The following is an 18876-nucleotide window of genomic DNA, read 5'->3' as shown; positions in this document are numbered from 1 at the left end:
GTGGAGGGGTGGAGAGGTGGGGGTGGAGGTGTGGAAGGTGGAGGGGTGGAGAGGTGGAGGATGGAGGGTGGAGGGGTGGAGGATGGAGGGGTGGAGGGGTGCAGGGATGGAGGGTGGAGGGGTGGAGGGGCAGAGGATGGAGGGGTGGAGGATGGAGGGTTGGAGAGGTGGAGGATGGAGGGGTGGAGAGTGGTGGGATGGAGGGGTGAAGGGATGGAGACTGGAGGGGTGGAGGGTGGAGGGGTGGAGGATGGAGGGGTGAAGGGTGGTGGGATGGAGGGGTGAAGGTATGGAGGCTGGAAGGGTGGAGGGTGGAGGGGTGGAGGATGGAGGGGTGGAGGAGATGGAGGATGTAAGGGTGAAGGGATGCAGGATGGAAGAGGGACGGGTGGAGGGATGGAGGATGGAGGGGTGGAGGGGTGAAGGATGGAGGGGTGGAGGGGTGGATGACGGAGGGGTGGAGGGGTGGAGGATGGAGGGGTGGAGGGGTGGATGACGGAGGGGTGGAGGGGTGGAGGATGGAGGGGTGAAGGGGTGGAGGGTGGAGGGGTGGAGGATGCAAGGGTGGAGAGGATGGAAGATGGAAGGGTGGAGGGTGGGCGTGGAGGGCGAAGGGATGGAGGATGGAAGGGTGCGGGGTGGAGCAGTGGAGGATGGAGGGGTGGAGGGGTGGACAGGTGGATTGTGGAGGGGTGGAGGATGGAGGGGTGGAGGGGTGTAGGATGGAGGGGTGGAGGGTGGAGGGATAGAGGGTGGAGATGGAGGGGTGGAGGAGTGGAGGGGTGGAGGATAGAAGGGTGAAGGAATGGAGGGGTGGATGGGTGGAGGTGTGGAGGATGGAGGGGTGGAGGGGTGGAGGGGTGGAAGATGGAAGGGTGGAGGTGTGGAGGATGGAGGGGTGGAGGGGTAGAGGGGTGGAGGATGGAGGGGTGGAGGGGTGGAGGGGTGGAGGGATGGAGGGTGGAGGGGTGGAGGGGTGGAGGTGTGGAGGGGTGGAGGATGGAGGGGTGGAGGGATGGTGGCTGGAGGGGTGGAGGGTGGAGGGATGGTGGCTGGAGGGGTGGAGGATGGAGGGGTGGAGGGGTGGAGGGTGGAGGGGTGAAGGGGTGAGGGTGGAGGGGTGGAGAGGTGAGGAGTGGAGGGTGGAGGGGTGGAGGGTGAAAGGTGGAGGGGTAAAGGGGTGAGGGTGGAGTCGTGGTGGGGTGGAGAGGTGAGGAGTGGAGGGTGGAAGGTGGAGGAGTAGAGGGATGGAGGGGTAGAGGGGTAGAGGATGGAGGGGTGAAGGGGTGAGGGTGGAGGGGTGCAGAGGTAAGGGGTGGAGGGTGGAGGGTGGAGGGTTGGAGGGGTGGAGGGTGGAAGGTGGAGGGGTAAAGCGGTGAGGGTGGAGGAGTGTTGGGGTGGAGGGTTGAGGGGTGGAGGGTGGAGGGGTGGAGGGATGGAGGGGTGAAAGGGTGAGGGTGGAGGGGTGGAGAGGTGAGGAGTGGAGGGTGGAGGGTGAAGGGGTGGAGGAGTAGAGAGGATGGGTTTTTGAAGACAAAATCAAGCTGTCAATCACAGCCAGCAAGGCTGTAAACACAAGGTGTAGAGCAGAACCACCTTGGATGAAACAAAGTGTCACCCATGGGTCACCCCACAGGCTCCGGGGTGCTGAGCAGATGGATGGAGCTGCCTTTCCACAAGGTGGTGTGCAGTGTTGGCCATGGTCCGGGGCAGTGATAGGACTCCCGAAGTGCTGGCACAGGACACAGGCAGGTGGCTCTCAGCTCAGGCGAGCTTTGCCTATGCCGTGCACCTTGCCAGCCCCAGGCTGGTTAGCGCCACCCCTCACCCCTGTCTTGGATCAGCTCTGGACAGTAGTGCTGGGAGGAACCTACTTTGAGAATCCTGGGGTGCTTTCTCCCCCAGCTTGTCTCTACATGAGCCTGCTGCCTCGTCCCCCACCCCGCGCCCTGCCTTAGGGCCACCAGCTGGTCTGGCTGGGTCCCTGCATGTCCTGAGCGTACTGGACTCCAGGTACGTGGTTGGCCTGAGGCCCTCAGCTCCAGGGGGGTCTGCCCCCTGATGCAGGGGCAGGAATCCTGCCAGGTGACAGCCGGATGACAAGCTCGCACCCCGTCACACCAGCAACCCGTCATGAAATGTCCAGTGGGTGCTGCCCCCAGGCCAGCAGATGCACACAGAGCCCTCTCCCCTGCTGGGGCCCGTTCTTCCCCCTCCTGCAGGTCCAACCCCACCCACCCCCTCTGCTGGGGCGGACCTGCTCCAGGGGTTCCCCTGCCTTCAGGAGCAGATGCTGGCCCTCGACTCCCTCCTCCACCTGCAGGGCTGGGGTACTCCAGGCAGGGCCAGCACACGGTCGGACGGGCTCCTCCAGCGTCTGCCAGCGACTGACCCTGTGGCAGGGAGCGGCGGCTGGAAAGTGCCCCCACCTCACTGGGCTCCGCCAGGGCCCCTGGGGCAGGGAGCAGCTCTGTGACCAGCTCCCTGGACGCCTCCTGGAACCAAACACACTTCCATCATGGGTCGGTCCAGGAACACCTTTGCGCTGTGGGAACACAGGCGGTGTTGAGTCGGGGCCCTGCTGCAAAGCTGTTGTCTGGCCGCTCTCGCCCCACTTCTGAGCTAATTGAAGGCCGGGACAAGGCTAGGGAGCCGAAGGCCCTCTGGCCACACCGCATCACAGGCAGGGGGTTGCTGAGCGTCCCCATCATTCATCGCAGGGACAGTGGCCAGGGCTGCCACCCAAAGACTGGCCCTGCCAGGATGTGTGCCCAGCCTGTCCCCAGAAACCACTCACTCAGGTAGGGCCCCACTCAGCAGCCCCCATGCCCCACAGTCTGAAAGCAAGGCAGGGGTCCTGGAAGCCTCCCACCCCTACTCAGTACTGTCCCCTGGCTGTTTGTGGCATGGCCCCGGAGGCCAGCTGGTCCCATCATGCAAGAGGTGGACACCATGACCCCTAGATGCCCCCAATCCCCGGGCGTGGTGACAGCTCCAGCTCTCAGCGGAAGCTCCGCCCCTCTCCTTCCTGCTGCCGCCATCAGGCTAAGGCCACCCAGGAGGCCATGCTGGGGGAGGCCATGATGGGGCTGTGCCCACAGGCCAATGGGCCAAAGGGGCAAAGGGGCAAGCAACTCCGGGCAGCCCCATCACTGGGACCTCCCTGGCCCAGGGACTCATTCAGCCAGCAGCAAAGGCCCAGCTCTTGGTCCAACCCCAGAGGGAGGAGGGGGCAGCTCCATGGGCTTTTAAAATCAAAATGTGTCAAAAGCGATTCTTTTATCGTAACAAACGCACCACACTAATGGAAGATGTTAGTTAAAATAAGGACCTGCCGAATCCCATCCTCTCCAACGCTTTGTGTAGCGTGCACAGGGTTTTAAAATTATTTTAATTCGTTGCCAACTTTAAAATCAGGAGACTGAGCATAAAGACCTGGATCCGCCTCCCCTTGGAAGGCTGAAAGACCAGCCGCATGGGGCCAGGTCGAGGATCCGCCGCTCTGGGTGGCTGCGCTTTCCCCAGCGGAGCCCCCACGGCCGCCATCCCCGCCATCCGACACTCCTGGCCAGTCACCTCTGGGACATGTGGGCCTGTCCTGGGTTGGTGGCCTCTGCACTAACCCAGCTCTCGCTAAACAGATGGGGAAACTGAGGCCTGGGGAGGGGTGAGGACTCCCTGAAGTCACCCAGCAGGCAGGTGACCAAGCCAGGACAGGAGGGGGTGGGAGAGAAGACAGAGGGAAGGAACATGAGGGTATCTCAGGGCCCCCCATCTCCCTGGCCATCACAAAGGGCACTGCGTCCCCCGCTGACCCCGCCGCCCCCTATCTCCACCTTGGGAGGGAATCTGCCGGGGAAGCCTCAGAGACTCCTGGGCCTGCTTGTTCCAGAAGCCCCGATCCACAGCCAGAACGACGCCTCTGCCAACTTTTAAAAATCAGCATGGATAAATTTTCAGAGAAACTACATTTCTTTTTTTAAAAGAAAAAAAAAATGTATTGATGGGGTAGGAGGAAGAAGGACCGTGTAATCGCCCCCGATGTATTCCTTCCGGTCGTGCTTGCCGTGGAATTTCAAGTCCACCTGCCATCCTGGCCTGTCCCACCTATTTCTGGGCCCAAGGCTCCCAGGTGGCTGCTCCTCCTGGCTGAACCACAGGGTCTGAGCCCGGGCAGGCACAAGGCCCAGTGGCCTCTGGGGCCCTAGAGCGCACCTACTGGCCGGGCTGGAGCCCAGCTCTATACCTGGGCAGTAGGGGAGGCTGGCTGGGCAGACAACGCCACACACTGGGAGTCTCTTGGGGTCAGGGAGTCTCCCCACAGGACCCTGGGCCACCCTGGGGCCCTGGCCCCCTCATTCAGCACTATCTGGAGAGTCTCTGAGACCCTTGGAATCAGCCACTGTGTGGGCTGCATTTTTTGAAGATAGAGTGTCCCTGACGAGACCTACCTGAGGCCAAATCCGCATGACACGGGCACATTGCAGGGAGCTGTCAGAGTCAGCCTGGGGACGGGGTCTGCCCGCCCAGCGGCTCCAACATTGCGGGGAGTGTCAGAGTCAGCCTGGGGCCGGGGTCTCCCTGCCCAGGGGCCCCACTGGGCAGGTCAACGTGGAGGGGCAAGTAGGAGCTGGCACTCAGCCTCATGTCGGCCAGCCGGGCCCTGTGACGTAGGTCCACCCTTGAGATGAGCCAAACCTCATGTCCAGGGCATGTGGCGGGGACACAGGGACCAGTCCACAGCTGTTCTGCCTAACAGCATGAGCGGCCAGCCCCTGCTCACAGCAAATCCACTCTCCTGGGTGTGGCAGAAGGAGAAGCACAGCTATGGAGGTGAACCTCGGGTGGCAGCTCCTTACCCTCAGAGAGTTTGCTGACAACAAGGGTCGTGGCCCGTCTGTGTGGAGCCGCAACACAAACGTGGCTGGGTTTGGCCTGGGAATCGCTGCGTCAAGAGGTTCTCGTGCAGCCTGGCAGGGCCCATGCGGAGCTGCAGCCAGTGTGCTCTGTGGCTGAGCGTCCCCGGGGCACAGCAGGGGCCTGAGCTCACCCTGTGCTCTGGGGTCCCCACACGCACCTTGAAGAGGAGCAGGGGACACTCAGGCCAAGTGCCCACCTGCCTGAGACAGTCTTTCAGTTGTTACTTGCCTACTTTAGGGGGTAGGGCTCACCCCCTCCCTGGCATACAGTCAACCTCAACCTCCCACTACTCTACAGCGAGTTCCTAGCCCTCCCCTCTGGGGGCACTGAGCAGGTCTGTGACGTCCCCCACACAAGAAGACTGCTGAGCTTGAAACCACAAGGGCCTGCCTCAAATCCCTGGGCACCTGCTGTGGTTCTTGAGCTCTGGAGGGAGTCCCAGCTTCCCCAACTTCACCACCTTTGGGGTCATTGGGCCAATGCCATGACCCCACTGGACCATGAGCCCACGAGGGTGGGAACTGTCTCCTTAGCCCTTGGCCAGTGACTGACCATAGTAGGTGCACCTGCAGCTGGCTTAGAATAGGGCGCCCACCAAGTCCCACCCAAGATGGGGCCAGGCCCAAGCCCAAGATCCCTCATGGCCCTTGGAGGGTGATGGTGGAGGATGCAGAGAGGAGGGGCCCAAGCCCCCACCTGGCACCAAGGAACAGTAAATGGCAGTGACTGCTCCGTGAGAAAGCCCCCAGCCCACAGAGCCATCATCCAGCAGGTGAACTGAAGTTGTAGGAGGGTGTCTCATGGAGTTCAAACATACCTCAGGAAGATGAAGAGGTCTGCTCTAAAGGCACAGGCAGGAGGTTTCGAAGGCAACCAGAAACTAAAGGGTAAAGAGGAGGGTTTTTTTCTGGAATTAATCCTCAGGCTCTGTTCTGACCTTCTGCTATTCAAAAGGCAAAGGGACAGGACAGAAAAGGGGCCACAGCACTTTCCCATGGTGGGAGTGGGTGCTAAGATGATGATGATGGTTGTGATGATGGCGGTGATGGGGATGATGAAGATGGTGATGGTGATGATGATGACGGTGAAAACGGTGATGGTGGTGATGATGGCGAAGATGGTGATGATGATGATGACAGTGAAAATGGTGATGGTGATGATGGTGGGGATGGTGATGGTGGTGATGGTGATGGTGATGATGGAAATGATGGTGGTGATGGAGATGATGGGGATGGGGTGATGATGGTGTTGGTGATGATGGGGATGATGATGGTGGTGGTGGTGGTGATAACCGCGATGTTAGGAAAAGGCTGTGAGGGACCAGGGACAGATGCTTTTTCTCCTACCTGTTTCCCATCTGCTATATGAGGGGGCTGGGCTGGATCATTCTGGCGTTCTATCAGCTCCCGTGATCTAAGACTAGCCAGAAGGAGCTCTCCCCCTGAGCCTAGAGAATACTTCAAACCCTCCAGGCAGGCGAGTGGGCTGGCTGCGGGGCAGGTGGACAAATGAGCAGGTCAGGATGCCTTAAGGACAGGAATAAGACAGAGACTGACAAAGCAAAGTGCAGGTGCCCCCTCCCTTTCACACGATGCCAGCAGTGAGTGTCACGTGGGGAGCGTCCCCATGACACAAACCTGCCTGGGAGACAAGGAGCCTTCCCTGGACTCTCAGAGGCAAGCAGCCCCTGGTGCCTGTGCCCACCTTGGCGCTGCCAGCCCCATCCTGGCATCCAGGAGCTTGCTCTGGTGCCCGCATGGCCGGTGCCTGCTTTGTCTGCCCAAGAGTGGGGGAGGTGACCAGAGCACCTCACGTTCCACTCACCCGTTCCCTCAGGGCCTCCCTGCCTCCCCAGAGAGGATGCTGAGCCCCTCCAGCTGCCAGATCCAGCCTGTCACAATCAGGCCACCACTGGTAAGCCTGGGCCAGGAGCGAGCAGACGAGACGCAACCCCCACCAGCCTCCCCTTCCCCTCCCCACTCTGTCCTGGCTCCTGCTGTCTGTGTCTCCCGCCTGACATCTGACGCCTTTGGTATCAGAGGGGTCAGAGGCTGGGGAAGCCAGGAGTCTGCTGATAAGGGTGTGCTCCCCACTCGGGGCTCTAAGGTCACAGCCCCCATCCACAGCTTGTGGGGGTCTCTGATAAGGTGGCGTTGGAGCACAGAGCTGAGGGAGAAGAGGGGGAGAACCGGGACATCAGGGTCTGGGCATGGCAGGGAGGAGGAGAATATGCAGAGTCCTGAGGCAGGAGCACGCTCATTAACGAAGTCCTGCCGGGACCTCTAGGTGCAAATTCACCTTGGCGGTGTCAAGGATGCTGCTGAGGAGGGGTCACCTGCCAAGGCCAGATGGCCGGTTTGTCAGGGGCTGGGGGAGGCAGCCAGGGCACCCCATCCACCCCGGCTACAGGATTTTGGCAGCGCCGGGCGAGAAGTCTGAGAATCGCCCTCCACAGCTTGGAGAGCTTGGTTGTTTTGAATATTTTCACTTAAAAGGATTCCCACCTGAAGGTTCTCTAGGAGACATGTGGGGACAGCCATCCTCATCCCTTGCACCCAACAGAGGGTCTGTCCTGGGACCCAGGCACTCCTGCAGTGTCTGTGGAGCAGCCCTTCTCAGAGGCGGTTTGCTTCCACCTGCCCATGATCAGGTCCAAGGAGCGGGGCCGGCGGCTCCCTGCACCTCCTCGCAGGTTGAGCAGCTGTTGGCAAAGGCCAACGTAGGGGCAGATGCCTGGGGTCCCGACCATGATCAGGAAGGGCAGCTCCGGGCCAAGGCTGCTCACAGGCCGGGAGGTGGGGAGTAGGGCGAGGTCAAGCACCAGAGGAAGGGGCTGGCAGGGGTGACCAGGAAGAGGAGGAGCAGGGACGTGGAGAGCCAGCGCATAGGAGCTCACAGCCCCTCTCATCTGCTCGAGAGCTTCCATCTGGGAAGAGCTGAGGCCCAAGGCCCACTGCTCTGTGGGAGCCCCACCCGGCCCTCCGTTGAGCCCATGGGTCAGGGCAAGGCTGCGCCCCAGAAGCATGAGCTGGCCCCAGCAGACCTGCTCTCCCTGCCACAGAGCCCCAGGAGCTGTCAGGGAGCTGGGCCCTCTCCCTGACCCTCATGTCCCCACCCTCCATGACCCAGCTCCCGAGAGCCGACCCTGCTGGGAGCCTCCTGGCTGGGCCACCCCTAGCAGGCCAGCCCAGGGCACTGCTCCTTCCTGTAATCCCACCCCACACACCAAGACCCACACCCAGGCAGGGGGATGAAATGGGCAGCATAACCGCGGGTGGCCTAGCCCACCACACTCACTTGAGACCCCTGAGCAGCCTGCGGCCACCCAGCCCCACCTCAGGGTCTGAGTCTCGGTGCATCTACGAAGTGGGTCTTTATGAGGCCTCTCTCACACTGCTATGAAGAAATACTCAACTGGGTAATGTATAAAGAAAAGAGGTTTGGTTGACTCACCGTTCCGCCTGGTTGGGAAAGCCCCAGGAAACTTACAATCATGGCGGAAGGCACCTCCTCACAGGGTGACAGGAGAAAGAATGAGCACAGAGCAAAAGGGGGAAAAGCCCTTATGAGACCATCAGATCACATGAGACTCATTCACTGTCTTGAGAACAGCATGGGGGAACCGCCCCCATGATCTCATCACCTCCACGAGGTCCCTCTGCCAACCAACACATGAGGATTACAATTCAGTTACAACTCAAGATGAGATCTGGGTGAGGACACAGAGCCAGACCATATCAGGGTCCATACTCGGGGTGGTGAGGGGCCCATGCCACATGCTGGGAGATCTCAGCCCTGCCGGGCACAAGCTCAACTAACAGGGTCATTGCCAAGTACTCACAGCCATCCTCAGAGCCACAGGCTGCCCCTGGGCCCAAGGTCCCGCTGCCACACAGAGACTATCCTTGACCTCACAGGTGCCCTCATCTCTGCTCACAAACCCTCTGGAGATGTCAACACAGGGCCAGGTGCAGGGCCAGTCTGCTGGGGTCACCTGGAGCCAAAGAGAAGACCCTGGTCCTGGAGCCTGCTGGGGGATCCCCACTACACAGCCAAGCCGCCTGAGATGCCGCCGTCACAGGCCAGCTGCTCAGAAAGCTGGGGCTTCGGGGCTTGCGTGGCATCCACGGCTCCCAACTCACGACAGTACACGCAGACACACGCTCACCCGCACACATGAACACCCACACTAGCAGTACACTCAGACACACACTCACCTGCACACACACTCACACTAGCAGTACACGCAGACACTCTCTCACTCGCACACACGAACACCCACACTAGCAGTACACGCAGACACACACTCACCCGCACACACAAATCCCAACCCACGACAGTACACGCAGACACACGCTCACCCGCACACACAAATCCCAACCCACACTAGCAGTACACACAGACACACGCTCACCCGCACACACGAACACCCACACTAGCAGTACACGCAGACACACACCTGCACACACAAACACCCACACTAGCAGTACACGCAGACACTCTCTCACTCGCACACACGAACACCCACACTAGCAGTACATGTAGACACACACTCACCCGCACACACAAATCCCAACCCACGACAGTACACGCAGACACACGCTCACCCGCACACATGAACACCCACACTAGCAGTACACGCAGACACCCGCTCACACACACACACGAACACCCACACTAGCAGTACACGCAGACACCCACTCACCTGCACACACGAATCCCAACCCACGACAGCAGAGGCAGACACCCTCTCACCTGCACACACAAACACCCACACTAGTGCAGGAGGCCAGGCCTGCACACACCCTCACACGTATGGACATATGTATGACACAAGTTCACAGACACCCTCACACCCACACATACACAGTAAGACATGCCTGCACACACCTTCACACGCATGGACACACACGCTGGCTCACACCCTCACACACATATACAGTAAGACACACAAATACACCCTCACACTCACACATATACACCCCTGCACACGCCCTCACACGCATGGACACACCTTCACATGCACAGACACGCTCACAGAGACACCCTCACAACTACACGTATACAGTAAGACATGCCTGCACACACCCGCACACGCACACAGGCTCACAGACACCCTCACACCCACACATACACAGTAAGACACGCCTGCACACACCCTCACACTCATGGACACACAGACACGCTGGCTCACACCCTCCCCCCGCCCTCCCGCACACCCACGTTGGACACGGCCTCGGACTCCCCCTGGTGGTGAAGCTCCGCACACACCGGGCGTTTTCTCCGGGGACCGACGGGCAGGGGCAGCCCTGGGCCCACGCTCTGGATTCTGACCGCCTGGGGGTTGGGGGACGGTGCGGCTGTGACCCTTCCTGTTCACTCTGAGCTTCACTTGAGTCTGAGCTCCTGACTCCCCCGGGCTCCGGCCCATCACACACACACAGCCGTTGCAGGAATAAGGCTTCTCCCACAGACGCTCAATCACATTGCTGAGTTACGAATGGAGACACCTAAATTTATTTTCCCAAGCACCTTGTGAATGGAGCTGCTGGGGCTCCGGGCTGGTCACGGCATCTGTCCAAAGTGGAGGGGGTGTGCTGGTGTCTTCTACGCCAAGGGGACAACTGTCCAGGTTAAGCGTCGGCCCACATCCCGATTTCGGTTCCTGGCCTGGCTCCCTGATGCGGGACAGAGCTGAGCACGCCCGTGCGGGGCTTACTGAACGCTCCTCTCTAGATCCCCGCACCTTTAACTTGGGGGAATCTATTGTGCACGATCAGTTCTTCCTGTTTCTTCTCTGTCTCTGCGTTTGAACGGGTATAACCCCAGGAAGATGAGACCTCCCTACGCCAGGTTCTCAGAGGCAGCTGCTGCTCAGTTTCTTTGACGTCCTTAAATAAATCTTTCTAAAGGAACCCACCATGGTGGCCACAAGAGGTGAAGCAGCATCACTCTTGACCTGCACAGCGACCGCAAAAATAAACCAGGACCTTCCTGCAGAGGCTCGCCCATCCCAGCCTGCGGCTCCTTGATCCCCAGGACCTGAGCTGGGCGTAGAAAAGCATTAGGGACCCATGGCCCCAAGAAGGCTTCCTGCTTGACAAGGCAGAGACGGAGAGAGGACTGGGATGTGTCCATTGCTCCCACATCGGGGGTCCCTGCCCCATGCCGAGACCAAGGACCCCCCTTCGTTCCTGCCCTGCCCTTCCCCAGGCAGGGGGATGGAATGGGCAGCATAACCGTGGGTGGCCTAGCCCACCACACTCACTTGAGACCCCTGAGCAGCTGCTCTCAGCTCTGGAAGCTGCTGGAAGACCCCAGCCCACCTTCCTGGCACCTTTGCTGCCATAAAGAGATGCCTTCCCTACCTGGAAACTGTTGGTGACTGACTTGTAATGACATCGCAGCTGTCTCTCTCCCTCCCTGTTTCCCCAGCCTCACTTCCCTAACTGCTCTCCTCTGCTGCCCGCTGCATGCCAAGCCCACCTCTCTCAGACTGTCAGGGTCTGGGGAGGGGTCAGCCAAGGTAGGTCCCAGCTGCCCCCACCCTCCAGCGGCCATCCCAATACTGACCCATCCCAACACCGACCCACCCCAACACCCACCCATCCCCAAAACTCACCCACCCATTGCCAACACGGACCAACCCCAACAACCACCCATCCCCAACACTTACCCACCCCAACACCCACCCACCCCAACACGGACCCACCCCAACACCCACCCATCCCAACACCCACCCACCCCAACACCCACCCACCCCAACACCCACCCATCCCAACACCCACCCACCCCAACACCCAACCATCCCAACACCGACCCACCCCAACACCCACCCACCCCAACATAGACCCATCCCAACACCCACTCAATGCAACACTCACCCATCCCCAACACCCACCCATCCCAACACCCACCCACCCCAACACCCATGCACCCCAACACCCACCCATCCCCACCACCCACCCATCCCAACACGGACCCGCCCATCCCCAGCACCCACCCATCCCAACACCCACCCACCCCAACACCCACCCACCCCAACACGCACCCATCCCCAACACGGACCCATCCCAACACCCACCCACCCCAACACCCACCCATCCCCAACACCCAACCATCCAAACACCCACCCATCCCCAACACGCACCCATCCCCAACACAGACCCATCCCAACACCCACCCACCCCAACACCCACCCATCCCAACACCCACCCATCCCCAACATGGACCCATCCCAACACCCACCCACCCCCACACCCACCCATCCCCAACACCCACCCATCCCAACACATACCCACCCCAACACCCACCCACCCCAACACTCTCCCATCCCCAACACCCAGCCATCCCAACACCCACCCACCCCAACACGGACCCACCCCAACAGCCACCCATCCCAACACCCACCCATCCCCAACACGGACCCACCCCAACACCCACCCACCCCAACACTCTCCCATCCCCAACACCCAGCCATCCCAACACCCACCCACCCCAACAAGGACCCACCCCAACAGCCACCCACCCCAACAGCCACCCACCCCAACACCCACCCATCCCCAACACTCTCCCATCCCCAACACCCAGCCATCCCAACACCCACCCACCCCAACACGGACCCATCCCAACAGCCACCCATCCCAACACCCACCCACCCCAACACCCACCCACCCCAACACGGACCCACCCCAACACTCTCCCATCCCCAACACCCAGCCATCCCAACACCCACCCACCCCAACACGGACCCATCCCAACAGCCACCCATCCCAACACCCACCCACCCCAACACCCACCCATCCCCAACACCCACCCACCCCAACACCCACCCACCCCAACACTCTCCCATCCCCAACACCCAGCCATCCCAACACCCACACACGCCAACACGGACCCACCCCAACACCCACCCACCCCAACACCCACCCATCCCCAATACGGACCCACCCCAACACCCACCCACCCCAACACTCTCCCATCCCCAACACCCACCCATCCCAACACCCACCCATCCCCCACACCCACCCCCCCTTCCCCTGCTACACAGGATGTTCCTCCAGAGACCCCAGAACCACCCCCTGGGCTGACACTTTAGGGCTCCACAGACAGAATGACACTGTGGCATCGCCCCCTTTGACGTTTCCGACTTTCTGAACTGTCTCCAGCCAGCGCATCCTCGGAGCTGCTGTGGAGACGAACACGCTCCTCTGGGTATGCGAGGGCAGCTGGGGTCTGTGCTCCGCTCCCGTGGCCCCTCCCCCTGGTGCTTTTCTCCAGAGTGATTTGGTGGCTGTGGCTCTGCGGGAAGTTATGCTTGGGAGACCCGTCCCCAAGTATCAAATACTTCAAGACCTTCCTCCTGGCCCTCCCCTGAGGCCCGGGTCCCTGGGGGCCTGACATTGCAGCCACCTCAGAGGTTGCAGAGACTCAGCAGCAGCTTTGGAGGACACAGCACTGAGCCCCTGGCCCCACAGCAGATCCCAAGGCACCAAAGGCAGCACTCGTGCCAGGTGGGGACAAGTCACACGGACGACCAGGGCCCGAGCCCGCAGCTGCGCCTCCCACAGCCAAGGGTGGCAGACGGTGCAGCCCTGCCCACTGGGGCCTCGCCCTCCGCCAGCCTCCCCGAGGCCGTCCTCTGACCCTCTGACCCGCACACCCCCGAGGTGGCTGCATCAACAATTTCTCCTCGTTTCGTGTGAAATAAATGGTCGTTTGTGTCTAAGCATGCTGGCATTTGCCTGGATTTAATTTGGCAACAAGAAATGAGAGTTTCGGGGCCCATCCATGCTCTGTACACGCTCAGGTGCTGGTGGCCCTGGGAGAGGAGATTCAGTCTGTTTGCAACGAGCTGGAGTCATATTGGGTCGGGGAGGGGGGCTCCTAAAGCCCTGGCGCTGTCTGGGTCCCGAACGCCCGGCGCCTCCTGGAGACCCTCGCAGACCCAGGTCCCAGAGAAGTGCCCCGCGAGCCACCAGGGGCGCGCATCGCCTGTCAGCCCCCACCCCCACCCTGCAACCCTCCAACCCATCCAGGAGGGTCGGGCGTCGCCTGCCGGAACCGCCACCCCCACCCCGCAACCGCCCATCCCTCCCAACCCACCCAGCAGGGTCCGGGGCTCGGGAAGGGGGCTCAGGTGGAGGACGCACAGGCCCTGCGTGTGGCTGCTCAGACAGGGAGGGCGGACCAGGATCTCCCTGGTTCTGGCCCTGCGGGGATGGAAATACGCCACTCAGCCGAGGCCCCACAAGCCCAGTCCTCCACTCCCCAGGCAGCCTCCCTGACCCCCCTGCACCTCTGCGAGACCACCATCCAGGCACCGCTTGAGAGCCCAGATGACAGAGGCAGGCCAGCTCCCAGAAAGCCGGGAAAGCCCTGCGGATGTGCTGAGGCCACTGGCCCTGCGCTTGACCCCACCTGTGTCCACACACCCAGCCCTCTGCATGGAAATCGCCACTGCTGACCCATGGGACGGGGCCAGGTGGAGACACACGGGTCACCCGGCCCTCCCTACAAGGGGGAGTGGGCGGGAGGAGGAGCGGGCACGAGGCCTGAAGGGCCAGACTCAGGAGCAGCCGGGAGACGCCAGCAGCCAGGGGCTGGGGCTGTTTCTTTCTCCTCTGCAAACTGAGCTGAGCTGTGGGCAGCCTCACCCCCACCTGTGAGAAAACAGCCTGGGGAAGGTAAATGGCCTTCTGGGAGCCTTTGGAGTAATCACCTTCCTGGGTGCCAGGTGAGTCCAGGGGCCGCCAGCTCCACGGGAGGTGCCGGGAGCCCGGGCCGGGGCTGGGAGGAGCAGGGAGGCCACAGGGGCCAGAGCCTAGGGAACCTCTGTCTGTACCCCTCCCTCCAGAAGCCTCCGTCTGTCACCCACACGTGCTCAGCAAACCTCCCTCTGTGGCAGGTGGTGAGGGAGGTGGACGAGGCCTGGCCTTGGTGGGCTAATCTGCTTGGGAAGATGGGAAGGGGCCTTCACCAGACAGACTGGGTGGGGTGAGGGCCCCTCGAGGCCAGGGCAGGCAAGGAGAGCTTCCTGCAGGAGGCAGTGATTGCCCCACAGCAGAAAGAGGCCACGGCTTCCCTGCGGCCTGAGCTCCCGTCCGCCCACAGCCTCCTGAGGACGGCCTGATCCAACAGGAGGGTGCCAACCTCAGCCAGTCTTGGCACTTCAGGGGGCCAAGGACGTGCTCGCCCGCATCCATCTGTCTGCCCTGCACGTCCATCAGGGACCCCACATGCCTCCTCCCGGTGACGACCCCCCGCCCACCCCACAAGACATTCAGAGTGGATTCGGCTTTCTGGAAGACACTGTGTGTTGTTGAGCATTAATTACTGGACACTTGGAATAATGTGTTCCGGGAAGTTTCACAGCTATATTTAGTCTGGCGGTTTTTCAAGCCAACTGACATCTCCCTGAGCCTCAAAGGAGAAGAATTGAGTGTCAGGCCCCATCCTGGCGCTCGATCTGCACCCAAGGCCAGCGCCAGCGTCCCGGGGCAGGGCCCTCCTGCTAGAGACCTGGTGTGTACTCGGTTTTCCTGTCTGTGATGCTCATGTCAACCTGTTGGTTCCAACTGCAACCCACCAGCGCCCCCAGCATTCCTGCACCCAGGAGGCCGGTATCTGAGGCTCTGCAGACTTCCCAGGGCCTCTGTCAGGGGTGCTGTGTGTCCTGTCCCAGGGCCCAGGTCGAGGTCTAACCATTTTAAATCTCCATCTGAACAGCACTCACAGGGGACAGGAGCCCTCAGTAAACTCCTGTCGCAAACGACCCCTGCCAACTTCCTGTATCTGTAGCCCGGCCCTAAAAATAGTCTTGGGATGGGGGCGGGGACTGTGTGAGGCAGGATTTCACCTTGAGAAGGCACAGTGGGGGAAGACAGGAGCGACCATTTCACACACTTGGGGGGGTGAGCTCAAGGCCTGGGCTCCCACCCTTGCACTGACCCTGGCAAGCTCACAACCTTAGGTTACCTGCCTTCCCTGAGCCTCAGTTTCCCCTCTTTGGGTCTCCAGCAGAGGTCTCGTGGCCTCATCAACTCTGCCCTGGTCTGATGGGGTTGAGGAGCTTTGGTTTCAGGATGTCCTGGGCTCAGATCCCAAACCCATCACTCCCCGCTGGGGGACGCCTGAGCAAGTACCGTGGCCTGTCTGTGGCCTCCTGGTTCTCATCTGTAAAGTGGGTGGTGATGATAATATCGCCTCCGTGGGAGACAGAATAGCAGCTCCCCAAGATGTCCACATCCAGAATAACAGCTCCCCAAGGCGTCCACATCCTAATCCTAGGACCTTTCAGTATGTCCCCTGAGGTGGCAAAAAGGACTTTGCAGAGATGGTTAAGGACTTTGAGATGGAGAGATGACCCCAAATTATCCAGGGGGGCCTACATGAGACCACAGGAGTCCTTATAAGAGACAGGCAGAGGGAGATTTGACACAGACAGAGGAAGAAGAGGCCCCATGGAGACGCAGGCAGGGACTGGAGCGACGCAGCCTCAAGCCCGGGAGCGGCCGGAGGCCCCAGCGGCTGCAGGAGCAGGAAGAATCCTCCCCCAGGGCCTCCAGAGAGAGCAGCTTTGACTTTAGTCCCTTAAGGTTCACTTAGAACTTCTGACCCCCAGAAGTGTACCCTGAGGAACTGGTGTGCTTGAGGGCCCTGAGTGCGCGGTGATTTGTCAAAGGAGCCTGGTGACTAACACAGCCGGGGCTTCTGGAAGGTTCCACAGAGGCCCTGCGCAGAGGCACTCAGTCCATGCATGGAGGTCCCTGCCTTCCACCTGCCGAGGCCACCCGGGGAATCTGGTCCACCCTCACCCTGCTGGGTCCAAGCAAGACACCGCCCCCCCCACACCTCCCTGCCCTCTTCCCTGCACAGCGCTGCTGGGACCCCTCCAGGGCTGGGGGCCTCACCACCTAAAGCAGCCTGCCCAGAAAGCAGAGCATGACACCAGCGTGGGGTCACCTGGGGTCAAGGTCACGGGCCCCCGAGGCCAGCCCTGCCTGGGAAGCTCCAGAGTCAGTCCTTGAGCTGAGCCTATGCCAGCCTCGCCCCACGCACCCACGTGGCATGGGAGTCCCTGGCAGCCAGCTCTCTGGTCCCCGACCTTCCCTGGCATGTTCTATCTCCCCACCCACTCCTGGCTTTGTTTCCAGAGCTCTGGATTCCTCTGATTTCCCTCCCAGGGTCCTGGCGTGTGTGCCCGGGGCAGAGATCCCTATCTGATGCCACAGCCACTGGGCACCTGCTGTGTATGGACACAAGAAGGCACTGCCCGGGCCTTGGGGAGGTGGTCTCCAGGGCCCTGGGAGCTGGGTCTCCACTGAGGTTCCAGGGCAGGCAGAGAGACTGCCTGGAGGGGGTGCTGAGCGGGCCTGGCACAGCTGCTGCAGGTATGAGGGGGCTGCCCAGGACACCCTTGGCAACGGCACAAGAAACCCCAACGAGAAGGGAACAGGAGGAGCAGCTCCAGGGAGCCGGCGGGAGGCAGGGCTGGCTGGGCCTTCGGAAGCTTGGCTGTGCCTAGAGAAAGTGGGGGGCTCTGGGGGTTCCAGCGAGGCTGGCAAGAGCTGTCCGCCATCCCACTCTGCAGGCCCCAGGGGCTGTGGGGTTTGGGAGTCACATCAGGCCCTGCGAGGCAGCCTCTCCCCAGGAGCCAGATGCTCCACTGGGCGGGAGCCCCATGCCAGGCCCCCCACAACTGTCCTGCCCAAACAGGAGGGGCTCAGCACCCCCCAGTGTTGCACGGCCCCCGTGCTCCAGGCCTCTCTTGCAGCTGCGGCCCCTAGAGGTCTTATGTCTCACCAGTTCCCCTGCTCGGGGGGCCTGCTGCGCTGGGAGAAGAGACCCTCACCCACAGCTGGCCTGGCCCAGGAAGCCCTGTGGCCCTGTGATCAGCAGCTCCCTCCTCCCCACCGCCTCCATCCCGGCCTCAGGCGTGAGTGGCTACTGTGCAGCAGCTGGGCTTGGGCTGTGCTGGAGCTCTGGGCCCTCATCATCTGTCCTCAGCACCCGTGTCACCTTCTCTGGGAGGCCTCCCTGATCACCCCTCAAATGTCAGCCCTGAGGCTCTGCTGTTTCTGCCGTGCCCTCCTAGCCATCTATCCTTCTTTCCATGTTTATTCTTTCCCCGCCCATAAGCCCGGGGACAGGGGCTTCTCTGCAGGTCTCTGCCCCATCCGTCTGCAGCACCCAGCCCACCACGAGGTCCATACCTGGAGGGCCTCCCTGTCACCACCACAACTGTGGACGCATCCTGCTAACCCCACCACTCAAGTCCTGGGTCCCGGAGAGCTGCAGGGAACCTCAGAAGACTCAGGCCTCCACCTACAGCAGGAGGGGCTTGGGAGAGGGGCCATCTCCTCCATCTGCAGAAATGACAGATAGATTCCAGGGCTGCAGGAACCCCTGTGCCACGAGAGAAAGAAACTTGGCACTTTGGGGAAGAAAGAACAGAGGCTGGAGCAGTGAGGCCATCAGGGTGGAGGCCCGCCCCGCACAGTGGCCACTCTCCCTGCAGGCCTCCAGGCCTCCGCTACTGCTGTGCCTTTTCCAGGAAAACTCCTACTCAGCCTCTGAAGCACAGCACAGAAGCCCATTTCCCTTGGGAAGCTCCTCTAGATCCCCCCCGCCATGTCACACTGGGAAAGAATCCCCATCCACACCACAGCAGGGGCACAGTGGGCACCTGGCAGGGCCAGGGAGAGGCTCCCCTGGGAGCCTGGTGGGGGTGGGGTGGGTGGGTGAGGGTTCAGGGGGCCTTCCTGCAAGAGAAGGGCCTGCAAATAGAAAAGGGGGCAGTGAGGACGCCTGGCACAGATTAGAGGCTCAAAGTTGGCTCCAGGTAGGCAGAGAGGAAGGAGAGAGGGAGGGAGACAGGAGCGTAAGTGCAGGCGGTGGGTCCCCAGGTCATACCCTTCAGAAGAGCAGAGTAGTGTGAGGGTGGGAGTCGGGCTC

At 61.3% G+C, this 18876-nt stretch overlaps 1 long non-coding RNA gene across 1 annotated transcript, besides 5 other annotated features; it reads left to right on the top strand.

Annotated features, from left to right (window-relative positions):
• Positions 8257–8486: an enhancer, noted in NCBI's record as "active region_18204". NCBI's record gives its function as "activates an Ori minimal core promoter by ATAC-STARR-seq in GM12878 lymphoblastoid cells {active_cell/tissue: GM12878}" and the evidence as "EXISTENCE:reporter gene assay evidence [ECO:0000049][PMID:35858748]".
• Positions 9952–10452: an enhancer, noted in NCBI's record as "H3K4me1 hESC enhancer chr20:61075123-61075623 (GRCh37/hg19 assembly coordinates)". NCBI's record gives its function as "activates a minimal SCP1, AML or CMV promoter by ChIP-STARR-seq in naive H9 embryonic stem cells {active_cell/tissue: H9 hESC(naive)}" and the evidence as "EXISTENCE:reporter gene assay evidence [ECO:0000049][PMID:30033119]".
• Positions 13428–13934: an enhancer, noted in NCBI's record as "H3K4me1 hESC enhancer chr20:61071641-61072147 (GRCh37/hg19 assembly coordinates)". NCBI's record gives its function as "activates a minimal SCP1, AML or CMV promoter by ChIP-STARR-seq in naive H9 embryonic stem cells {active_cell/tissue: H9 hESC(naive)}" and the evidence as "EXISTENCE:reporter gene assay evidence [ECO:0000049][PMID:30033119]".
• Positions 13935–14440: an enhancer, noted in NCBI's record as "H3K4me1 hESC enhancer chr20:61071135-61071640 (GRCh37/hg19 assembly coordinates)". NCBI's record gives its function as "activates a minimal SCP1, AML or CMV promoter by ChIP-STARR-seq in naive H9 embryonic stem cells {active_cell/tissue: H9 hESC(naive)}" and the evidence as "EXISTENCE:reporter gene assay evidence [ECO:0000049][PMID:30033119]".
• Positions 14505–15694, top strand: LOC124904947 (uncharacterized). Its single transcript, XR_007067707.1, has 2 exons — positions 14505–14656; positions 15034–15694. It is a non-coding gene; the product is annotated as an uncharacterized LOC124904947 (long non-coding RNA).
• Positions 15524–15593: an enhancer, noted in NCBI's record as "active region_18203". NCBI's record gives its function as "activates an Ori minimal core promoter by ATAC-STARR-seq in GM12878 lymphoblastoid cells {active_cell/tissue: GM12878}" and the evidence as "EXISTENCE:reporter gene assay evidence [ECO:0000049][PMID:35858748]".
• Positions 15695–18876: the final 3182 nt, after the last annotated feature.

This window comes from Homo sapiens, chromosome 20 (assembly GCF_000001405.40).
Source record: "Homo sapiens chromosome 20, GRCh38.p14 Primary Assembly".
Lineage (NCBI taxonomy): Eukaryota > Metazoa > Chordata > Mammalia > Primates > Hominidae > Homo > Homo sapiens.
Note: the sequence above shows the minus strand (reverse complement) of the source record. Positions and strands in the feature narration are given on the sequence as shown.